The following is a 12100-nucleotide window of genomic DNA, read 5'->3' on the forward strand; positions in this document are numbered from 1 at the left end:
ACTATCCTTCTCTTTGCCCACCGCCATTTTCCTTCATCTACTTTTCCCTTCTCTAGCACCTCAGACTGTCTTCCCACAGTGGCACAGCCTCCCACTCCACTTTCACTGTGCCATCTCCTTGCCATCAAAACCATCCTCACAGACCCTTCTGAAACCACTTCTAGGAAGGGAAATCACAATGGATCCATGAAGGATGCTTTCTGGATGACTTTAAAAGATTGGTATTAAGATATTTTATCAGTGGTAGCAACACTGACTTATTCAGGCAGCCATGCCCCGGATCTATAAGAAATCAGGTAAGCTAAAAGTTGCTTGAGCTGGCAGGAGACCTAGTTCTCTTTTTTCCTTTCCCTCTTGCATTTTGTTTATCGATGGTTTTCAAAGGACTTAGAGGCTGGCTTTGTTATAGTTAGTTGGTAAGAGAAATGGTGGAGGACCGGAAAATGGGAGTGGAACGAATGAGCATGTTTGAGACTAAGTTATTACAATTCCTAGGATGTATAAATTGCTTGAAATCTACCAAGTACTTTCAGACACATTATCTTTTTTACTCTTCAAAATCAACTTGGAGGTAGGCACAACAGGGATCAAATCCTTAGTTCACAGATGAGTAAACTGAGACTGGAGGAAATTAAAGGAGATTCCAAGGTAACTCAGACAATAAGCAACAGAACCAGGATTTGGTGAATTTTTTGGGGGGTGGGAGGTACAGAGTCTCACTCAGGCTGGAGTGCAGTGGCAAGGTCTCGTCTCACTGCAACCTCTGCCTCCTGAGTTCAAGTGATTCTCGTGCCTCAACCTCCTGAGTAGCTGGGATTACAGACATGTGCTACAATGCCTGGCTAATTTTTGTATTTTTAGTAGAGATGAGGTTTTGTCATGTTGCCCAGGCCGGTCCTGAATTCTTGGTCTCAAGTGATCCACCTCCATTGGCCTTCCAAAGTGCAGGGATTATAAGCATGAGCCACTGCTCCCAGCCCCAGACCATTAATTTTTGACAGTAAGTCCAACTTTTTTCAAGTTCACAGCTCAGATTTGCTATTGAATGAATGAGTATATATGTCATTTGGGAACATTCTTTCCAACTTTTGGTTGAAGATTTGTTTTATCACTTGTGAAAATTTTTTTTCATTCTTAGCAATGTCAGTTTAGTTAAATGAGCATTTCATTTGCGAATTCACTAATTAATTATTTTATTCATCAATACATTTCCTGAGTACCAACTTTCTATCAAACCCTGTGCTGGATTCTGAGGCTACAAAGAGAAATAAGATACCATCTCAGGCCTCTAAAATCTCACAGACTGGGGACTGACATCTCAGTAGTAAACATATGAACAGCAACTTGTGAAACGCCATTAGCAAAATCTCAAGTTATATTCTTCAGTGACTATGGCCATCCTAAAAATGGGGTGTCTTTTATTTGGGGTAAATGAAGATGAAGCCTTATGAGAAATTGCATTTTAATCTAATCTTGTCTTGCTAAGAACAGAAGTGGAATGTTTCAGCCTCTGTGTGTGTATTTGTGTGTGTGAAGGTTGAGTGTGTGATGATGGATGGGGCTGCGAGATTGTTAAGTAGGATCTATGGGGGGCCTTAAATGGTCCTGGTGAGTCCCAACTTTCTGGTTATGTATTTGAGTAGAGTATGGGGGTGACAAAGATTGTTGTTTAAGAGTTGATTTTAGATTTTTTCCAAGTAAATGGTCAGCTGACTTGGAGCATCATCATTCCACTTGCTTTGAAAACCTGCCACTTAAGGCTCCTTCCAGTCATAGGTTAACTCTTTCTGGTCAAGTATTACTCTTTTTGAGCATTTACCTGTCAGTGACAGGTACAATGTTAGATGTTGTCTCTCTGTTTTCTTGTTTAATCTTTACTTTGATCCTAGGTAGCTCTTATTAGTTCCACTTTATAGGTAAGAAACTGAATTTCAGAGACTTGAATGACTTGTTCAAGATCACATAGTATAGTAACTTGGTAGTTTGGGACTTGAATTTTGATTGTTCAGTTTTTTGTTTGTTTGTTTCCTGGCCTCCCTGCTGTTTTCACTATTCCACACCACTTCAGCTTTATTTTTCATAGAGGCCATTAAATGTACCCTCCATCAGCCAAAGCCTCTTGCCTCCCTTCAACGTAACTCTTCTCTAGCGTCCTCTTAATAATCTTCTGAAAAGGTTTTACAGCCTTTCTGGGTACTGGGACCCAGAGTCTTAATCCAGGCTCTTAAGTGCCTTATTTAACTGTAATATGGAAAATCAAAGTCACAGCTAATTCAGGAAAAATGAGTTTGGGATGTGAATTTCCTAGGCAACTTGTCATCTCTTTTTTACTTCCTTAGCTTCATAAACTTACCCACAATGTTCCCTGAGGACTAAGAGTAATGGAGGGTGATGAGGAAAGGCTTTCCTCCCTTCCTTTCCGAGAGTCCTTTAGCCAAATGCCACACCTCCTCCTGTTTCCCTAGTCTCCGTGCAGAGATGGAAGTGGGAGATAGACATGGGTTCCTTTCAGCCCTGAGTTCATGCCAGGGTTTTCTTTCCCTCTAGCTGGACTGAGGTAGGAGGAGAGGTTGAAGTCCACCAATAAGACCATGAGTGAAGAAGACTAAAGTACTTGAAAGAGCAGCAGACCTACGCTTAAAATACTAGGGTTTGTGTCCAGACTTTGTGGGTTACTATCTGTATAATTTTGGGCAAGTCAACAGTTCTGAGTCAGAGTTCCCTTATCAGCAGATTGGAAGATAAATTCTAATTATATAGATGAAACATTAAGTCTAGAAGTAATTTGTAAATTCAGAAAGGGCTTATAGATTTAAAGTGTAGCCGTTTTGATTACCACAAACTAAATCCTATACTTCAGGGATAAAATCTTCTCCTGTTTTTTCTAAAAGCCTGTGCATGTGTGGTGTAAGGGGTGGGTTTTCCCTTGTACCAGCAACTTAGCAATTGTAGTAACGGGGCTGAGGGCAGTGGCATGCTTCTTCATTGAGCAAGTGTGAAAAGAGGGTTATGCATTCAGGGGTCAGCAGATGGCAGGCAGAGTAGCCCCTCCAAATCTCCCTCCCATACCACAAAGCCCTCTTATTTATTCAAACTTAACATTAGAAGCTCATTTCAAGTAGGCACGTCTGTGTCTGGGCGTCTATTTTCCTTCTTTGTATATAGCAGGCATTTGTCAACTTGGTGAAAAGCATTACTCTTCTTTCCATTTCTGAGGACTAATTGTGCTTCTTCGCTAGACACGAGTTCAAAACAGTGGGTTGAAAGAGGGCAAGTTTATGCCAAAGAATCAGAAATAGTCATAATTTAGAGAGAATTCTAGAGGTCAGTTCCCTTTCGTATGGACTGGGCAACTGAAACCCAGACAGGGAAGGGAATTAGACCAAGTTCACAAGCACAAACACTTTACTGGCACATTCAGATTGGAAATCGAGGGCTTCTGCTCCCAGGTCAGAACTAAATGCCCTTTCTAGCTAGGGTGTTCTTTGATCTCAGTGATTTTGACTCTTTCTACTGCACTCTGGGGACAGTGGGTTCTGCGGTACCAACTCCAATTAAAGTGGGAATATGTACCAGCCCCTCCCCTTGGTTTTTATTTTTCAGAGGCCTGGCAGTCAGAGGGATTCTGATCTCTATATGCAATATTTTCACACTACTGTACTTATTGAAATCACATTTGAATCTTGGCAATTAACAAGGCAGTAATTGGCATCAGGAGGGTATGTTAGTTTGCTTATCTGCGCCGTCCCTCCTCTTCCCAACCCACTGTGTATTGCAGAATGTTTTATCAGCTCTGATTTGCCAAGTTGCTCTCTTCTCCAGTAGGTGCTGCGAGCAGAGAGGGATTCCTCGGAGGTCATCTGTTCCATCTTCTTGCCTATGCAAATGCCTGCCTGAAGCTGCTGGAGGCTGGCTTTGTACCGGACTTTGTACAGGGAACCAGGGAAACGAATGCAGAGTGCTCCTGACATTGCCTGTCACTTTTTCCCATGATACTCTGGCTTCACAGGTGGGAGGTTCTTCAATTGAAAACTTAGAACTCAGTTTCTAGGGTAGTGAGTGTTGTAAGGTTTGGACTGTGACCTAATATTACGCAGCCATGACATTATCTATTAGGCATCTAGACTAGCTTGCTTGAATATCTTAGCATGTTGACTAATTTGGGGCAGAATATAGTGTGGGTGGGGGATTTTGTGTGTGGGGGGGGGTTGGGGGTTGAGCAATTCATTATTATTAAAATGCAAAAAGCACTTAATTCGCTATGATAAGATTGCCTTTTTCATGCATACTGGCCTACCTGCAAGACCCCTAGAGACAGTAAGCAGCATACATGGTGTCTTCCAGTTTTCAGCCTTTGTGCAAGGAACAACTGTGGGTTTCTGCACATGTGTTGTGGTTTGATGTTTGTATGTGATTGTGTACCAGGGTATGTGTGTCTGTTATTGTGAGTTCATTTCTGAGCAGTTGTGACACACAGAGATCCAGAAACAGTGTCTTACCCTGTGTGCTTTGCTAGTGGGAACGTGTCTTTTCTTTTGTGCTCGTATCTCTGTGTAATCGAGTGTCTTGCTAAGTCAATGTGCCTCTGTCTCTTTTTACCAGTTCTGTCTTTGTGTCTCTGTGCCTTCATGTATTTTTTCCCCTGAGTTTGCACGTCTCTGTCTATGTGGATATCTCTCACTCCAGGCCACTGTATCACTGTGTCTGTATTACAGCTGTTTATTTCTGTCGGTGTGTGGATTTCTATGTCTGTTTTCATCTTAATTTGTGTGTCTAAGCAAGACTGTTTTGGGGTGACTATTTCAGTTTATGTCATAGCCATTCTTTGTGTGACTGCTTCTAGGTATGTCTTTTTCTATGCCCCTATTGTCCCCATCTCCATGTGTCTCTGTGTGTATATGTTCTAATGTATCTGCCTACTTATCTTAGTTTGTATTTCTCTGGGTGTATATCCCTCTCTTGCAGTTCTGGGCCTTTGCAGTTTTTGGCTTATGTTTTTGTATATATCCACTAGAATTGGCTTCTTATCTTTTTTGTGCATGTTTTAGTTTGTATGAGTGAGCATATCCAACTCTGTCTTTGAGAAGCAGAACTGTCTGTGTTTGCAGTCAGTTGTGTTGGCTGTCCCTGTGTTTGTCCCTGTGTGTGCATTTCATTGTATGTGTACGCATCCATGTATCTTTCTGCTTCTCTGTGACCAGATATTTCTGTGTAGCTGTCTATGTATATTGGCTTCTGTCTGTGTCTGTGTTGTTGGCTCTACGTCTGTGCATATGCACCCACCGGGTTCATAAAAAGCTCACCTGCTCTCCAAGGAATCTACCAGATTATTTTGTGAAATAACTCACGTTTCGTTTTTTTACTTGCCAGCTGCTATGGTACTTAAAAGTGTGTTGGTACGTAGGTGTGCATAATTTATTCATGTAGGATGTCAAAAGAGTCAGTTAAAAATTATGCACAGTGTGTCTTTATTAACAGGACACTTGTGTGTAGAGAATCCTTGAGAAATGAGTGGTTAGATGATAAATCTTTTCATATTAATTTCATGATGTCAGTGAAGTAAATTTGCAAGATATGGGCTGCATAAGAACTATGTTCTTTTTAAAACTCAGCATATTGATGGTGGAGAAAGCATTTATTTGTACTGCAAAGTCTTATTTCTGATAAGACATCACAAATAAGAATTATTGTGATGAGACTTATCACAAATAAGAATTATTGTGATAATTCTTATTTGTGATAAGAATTACTGGGTTAGAAGGTGTTACTTTTCTGGTTTTGTTTGGGTTTTTGTTTTGAAGTGTTACTACAGATGGTGTCTTAGGGACAAAGAGCTCTGAGGTTGACTTAGAACACATGGAGTACAGATAAAAAGGAGAATGAAAAGTAACAGAGAGATGGGCATATTCCTTGTTTGAATGGAGTCATCCAGGGGCTCAGGATGGAGTGCACAGGAAATGGAGAGGTGAAGGTCATAGAGAGAAGTTTAGCAGGACCAGATCTTTCCTTGTCCTGGGCTGCTGTGACCATATAAGGAAGGCAGTAAGGGGAGGGGTAGGGATGAGGAAGAGACCAGCTCTCCTCTTTCTTTCTGATGGAAGGTTACCACCTCTATTTAAAACTTCTGTTCTTTTGGTTTCTCTTTCTTTCTTTGATTATATTATTTTCTGGACTTGTTCTGCCAAAGCAAGAAGGAAATTCCACATGTGGCTCACTCATTTATTATACTTGTTTCTTTGCACGATATTAAAGACAGCTTGTTAAGTGTCACTGCAAACATCATACACACTGATCCACTGATATGGGCAGGGGGTTCTTTATGCCAGTTCTGCTCTCTTCCCAGTGTATCTGTGGTGCTTAATGGGCGCAACCATGATTTTTCTGATGTCAGTCTGTGATGTCAGTTGTCCAGTGTGTATGCAGGCTGCTTAAGAGTACATACAGTTCCTTCACAATTATGGTAGTCCCTGAGAAGGAAGTGGTCATTAATAAAAGACTAGGTTCAGTAGAAACATGTAAGTTGTCTAGGTGTTGGAAATTAATACAGTACTGTGCTAAGGGAACATATATCTAGAAGTTAACTGAATTATGCTCAATAAAAAGAGTACAAATGTTTCATAAATATTTTGACCTAATCCTCCTGTAAGATTAGGAGAGGGATATTTCCGATATTCAAATAATTTTTTTAATTGGCAAACACCTTAGACATACTATTTACATAAAATTGACATGACAAAATTAAGTCATTGTGTCTGTTTTATGATAAAACAGGCTCTTTTGATTTAGTTAGAATTATTGAATGTAAAATAATGAAAATTAAAAAAAAAACAAGGAGGAGGAATCTATCCTATTTTATAATTCAGACCGTTGAATTGAGTTTTTCTTTTGTTGTATTGATTTAAATGCAGAGAAGTCTATGATGCTGGATTCCAGTCAGAAGATAAACATTTGTATGTGGGCTCTACATTGCAGCCAACCTTGATAATTTCAAACCTCGATTTTCTCATCTGTATAATGGTAATAATAAAGCCTGTCTCAGTAGCTACCAAATGATTGCATATGACAAACTTCTCACTTATTTAAGGGAAAAAATAAGAAAAAGAAGGACAATAGGGTGGATTTTTCATATAGTAAAATTTATTCAGTTAGGGTAATATTCTGAGATTGTCTTCTGAAGCAAACCCTGCAAACCCTGGCCATTCTGTTTTGTTTAGGAAAGAATTCATCAGTTCTGATTCTGCCTTTTCTGGGGAGGGAGGCTGAGTATTGGATTGAAGAGGAGTCACTACTTTTCTGAGATGATATATCCGTGGTAAAAATTATTAATGCTTTGCACATGCAACATAGAGTGTTCAATTTTGTTAGTCAACAAATATTTAAGTGGCAGCTGTTATGACCTCAGGGGTGTAGTGACTTCCTTATTGTCCTTTAATTATTAAAAAAGAAATCTATATCAGAATATCAGGTAAACTCTTATTACATCAAATATTATAATAAAGATACTTTTTATATTCTCTAAACAAAGTAGAGATCTCAGATGTTGGTTCATTTATCAATATAATATTAGATTTGAAAATTCCAGTATACAAAAGGAAAAGGACAGCTTCTTAAAGTTTATAGTGATTTTCTATGAACTATCAATTCCGTTTTTTTCTGTTTTACTGGTATGATGGAAACTAAATTTCGAGTTGTAAGTAGTAGATAATTAGACTGCAGGGTAAGCCTTGAGATTACTTCTTTTCAGGTAGGAAACTCTACTGTGTATTTGGCTAGTTCAACCTATCATGGGTAGTCAAAAATAGTTACATATACAAGTCAGCATTTTTTAAATTGTTCAGTTGTGCTTAAGATTGGTCCTTTCCAGGAACAATCCAGCTTTATCAAAAAATTATTGCGTACATGTAAAGTGTTCTGACATTTTAATGCTCACAATAGCCGAATGACGTGGGTAAGAATCTTCGTCTTCATTTTATAGATGAAGAAATGAAGACACAGAGACATAAATTAACTGGGCCAGGGTCCTACCACTAGAATGTGATAGATGATAATTTGAGCTCAGCACATAGTTATTTCCCTATAATATTTGTTTTATGATTGTATAGATGTCTGCTGACCAACCTTAATCTCTGCTCCCTAAGATTAACCATTCTACAAAGCAGAAACTGGAGGTCATTCAAATGAAAGCTCTACACTTTTAGAGGGCCATTAACAATGCTCAAGTTAAAGAAAAGCAATCAAAGACAACTAAAATACTGGTACCTTCAAACAGTACTTATGAATTATTTAACCTTAGATAATTTGGCTTTGAGTTAGAAAGATAGAGTAAGATGGAGGAACCAATTCTTCCCTGGGTTGATATTTATTTATCTTGCTCTTTTGAAGTCTAGGCCAATCATCCTATTTATTCTGAATGGCCCGTTAACGTTTATCCATTTAGGGACAGCAGGTTTGGCACAAATGGATTGGTTTTCTGAGGTCTTATGTAGAGGGCTGCACTGACTGACTTCTGAAAGTCCCCCCTAACCCTTCAAATCTCAGGGTCATCTGGTCTCAAGCCTTCAATTATGAATACATTTCTATTGCCTTTTTGAGTAACAGCACAACACTGCAAGCTGACCCACTGGGTGGATGGAATGGGGCTCTTGCCCTACCACCCTTTGGCAAACAATTTGAGGGTGGCATTGTCACTACCTCATTGTATATAGGGTCTCTTGAGGCCCAGAATGGCAAAATAATTTTCCCAGTGTCACACAGCGAGTTATTGTCAGAGTAAATATCAATTTTGAATTTGTAGACCACGTGGTTTTACCTCATCATTTCTGTTTGTTATGAAAGTTTTACAAATAATTAGAAGTAGAAATAATGATTAAAATAAAGCATAACTACTAAAAAATAGTTTATTGCAGCACCACCTAAATTCATCTCACCACTCTACCAGTAGCATACATTTCACAATTGGGTTAACATTGCTCTGGATCTTATAGCTGTTGAAGAAGACAAAATTCTTTCCATTCTCCAGCTTATATTTTCCCCATTTGTAAAACATAATGGAAGTGTACGGAAAATAGGAGTTGATAATTTTTAAGGCCCTTGCCAGCACATTAGTACATAGGATTCTTGCAAGTGGTGGTTTACTTCACTTCAACTATAGAAGGCCTATGCGACACCACCCATAGAGGGTAGTTTGAAAGAAAATGCTAGTGACTACGTGTGTTTCCTTCCTGACATATTTTATAGAAGGTGATGAGTTCCAGCATTTTTTCAGACTTGGATCTGGCTTTCATTCCCCTTCTCCTCCCACCCTCTAAAACAACAGAGGCAGCAACCATTTACACACTTTCCAGAAGTAAGTAAGTAAGACTGTATTCCAGAAACACCCTATATCAAAATGGAAATATACTCAAGTGCCCCAATGACCCATTGGGCTAGTTTGAACGTGTGCAGTCTCTGTGCTCCCCGTTTTAGCTTAAGCCTACTCCCTAACCTGTCATATGTCACCCAGCCATGGAGCCTAGGGCAATGACTGCCATCATATCTGACTTTATGGCCTCTCAGCTTTCAATGACTAGCTTTGTAGCAGAAGTTTAGCCTCTCATCCCCATAACTTTGGAAGTAGTGTTGAGATAAAGAAACGTTGAATTGAAGGTTGTGTTTTCTAGATTTCTTTCAATTGCTCCTTAGGCTTTAGAAGATAAATTCTCCTAAAAGAGAGGTGCTACAATTAATCCAAGCAAAGGGAAAGATGTCAGTAAAACTGCCCCTTTTCATAGAGGTGTGGCAACTGCTGGGAAGGAAGAAATTAGCCTGAGGCCATGTGATTACTAATAAACTCAAAGCGGCATTTTTTTACTTCTCAATATGAGGTTGAAACTATAAGCTTAAATTGCTGACTTTCTGGCAGCACCAAACAGTAAGGAAACCACAAAGATAAACCCAAATAATAGAGCCAATTTTCTTTTTTTCCGGGGGGGATGACTTCTAACTAGTGATATGAGGAAGGATAAGAAAATGTTTCTTTGTAGGACATATGATCTTTGCTAAGTGCACTGAATGTATGTAGAGGAGACAAGTCTGCTGAGGGTATGAGAATTGGGCCAAGATTTAACACATTTTCAAAGCTCCATGAAGAAGCCTACTGAGCAGTGGGAGTGGAGCAGGTTGGGGATAGTGAAGTATTTGTAATTCATTTTTAAAAAGGAGAGGGAGAGAGAAAAGGAAAAACTGGGCCACCCATCCTTTGAAAAGAAACCTTGAAAGAGGTCCAAATATCCTTAGAAATCCTTGACTTCTTAAAAGTGATGTTTGTTTTTTCCCCCTGACAATTATAGAGGTCAGAGAGTTTTTCTTTTCTATTACAAAACATTGAGAGTGTGTAGAAATAATTGTAGGTAGCTTAGCCTTGGCTGTAGTCAGAACTTTTGTACTGTGACTTTAGGATCTGTATGGAATCGTATGATATGCGGATACACCAAAAACTCTATGGGTTATCAAAATGGGATAGCATTAAAAGAAATAGTGCTTTTGTTTAGAAGAAGAAATGAAATGCTTGTGTCCAGATGCTTAAAGGAAGGCAGTGCAGACTTTCAGAAACTAGACTTTAAGAGCTGTACTCAGATACTGAGAAGGGCTGATGGCTGAAGGAGGAACAATTTAAAAGAATAACCGTCTCTCCTCTCCCTGTATATTGGACATAAAAGAATATCCCATTCTTTTCAGAAATGTAATACAACAGTTTAGCTTGCTAGTAACTTCACATGCTATTTCCTTTACCTCTTATATTTGAGGTGTCTATTTGGAGTGGGCTGTGTTTCTAGCTATTCTGTTTATCTGGTTTGTTTTTGTTGGTGTAGGAAACTGGTATAAATTTTATTTGGGTAAATATCACCTCAATTTTCAACTAAAGCTTTATTTAAGTTTCACATGAAAAAGACAAATGAGGCAAAGGAAGAGAAAAATGCATTGTCAGAATCAGAATTATGAGAAAAAAAGTCAAACAAACATATTTGAAATGTCCAGAAAACCTGTGAGTTTTTATGTATACTATACAGGAAAGATATTCTGTCATCTGGTTGCCAAACTATGGAGGGTGGGAGACTTCGAATTTTTGTCAAAAAGTATTCTTTCATTAGAAAGATACATGGGTGTGCTTCCATGTCAGCAACATGACTGCAGACCAGGAAGTCCTCACGGAGAGCTGGAATATGGGTATTTTGGACTCTCTGGTTAGATGCAGCTTTTACTTCACATCCTCAGTGGTACTACTGTAAATTTTCATTTTCCTGTGGAATACCCTATTTGGTTCCATTGTATATAGTTGACAACTAGAATTCGTTCGCTGTTGCTTGAGCCCAACTATAACTTCTTGGCACTATACCTATCTTCTGATGTGCCTGTGGAAGAGCTACCATAATGAATGTGTACATGGACAAAAAAAAAGAGAGAGAGAGAGAGAATTAAATCATGAGTTTGTGCCTTGGGAGCTACAGTTTAAACATTTGCTGTTTTTCTCACTTAATGAAAAATTTATTTGAAAATAACAGCACAGAAAGGAAGAAAGACAGGCTGGCAAGCATCCTCCTCCTAATACACTTATCCACGTTTGGATACCTTGGTCTCAGCCTCAGAGGTCATATTTTTAGTAAAATGGCCACCAGAAATAAAGGATTTTATTTTCCAGACTTTGGTGTTTGGAGCTGGTGTGCTGAGAGCTAGCAGAGAAAGCCCTACTCAGGTAGATGTACCAGAGCAGGATGGTTGCTGGTGGATATGGTGGAATACCTTTTATGTGGTTATCTCCTCCTTGTAACTCTTGGCTGCATAACCCTTATTTTCTTTTCTATTTTTATTCTCTCTCTTGGAAAAAAAATTGGTGGTAAATTTTCATGTGAGCCATATTGTCTTTTTAAATAGTTTTATTAATATAAAATGTACGTACCATAAAGCATACCCATTTAAACTGTAAATGTCAATGGGTTTCTCTCTCTCTCTCTCTTTTTTTTTTTTTTTTTGGATGCTCAGAGTTGTGCAACAATTATCAAAATCAATTTTGGAACAATTTCATTGCCCCAAAAGGAAACCCTCTGCCCATTAGCAGTTACTC

At 38.9% G+C, this 12100-nt stretch overlaps 1 protein-coding gene across 5 annotated transcripts in view; it reads left to right on the forward strand.

Moving 5' to 3' along the window:
- The window catches only part of AR (androgen receptor), a 186599-nt gene that overhangs the window by 20993 nt on the left and 153506 nt on the right, over nucleotides 1-12100 (forward strand). The window contains exon 2 of one of the 5 annotated variants that reach the window (NM_001011645.3): nucleotides 3823-4009. The exons of the other annotated variants lie outside the window; for them this stretch is intronic. Within the exon in view, the coding sequence (NP_001011645.1) occupies nucleotides 3990-4009 (20 nt within the window). The 5' untranslated portion in view covers nucleotides 3823-3989. The remainder of the gene's footprint in view (nucleotides 1-3822; nucleotides 4010-12100) is intronic. 5 annotated transcript variants of the gene reach the window in all.

The sequence above is a fragment of the Homo sapiens genome, chromosome X (genome assembly GCF_000001405.40).
Source record: "Homo sapiens chromosome X, GRCh38.p14 Primary Assembly".
In the NCBI taxonomy this organism is placed as follows: domain Eukaryota; kingdom Metazoa; phylum Chordata; class Mammalia; order Primates; family Hominidae; genus Homo; species Homo sapiens.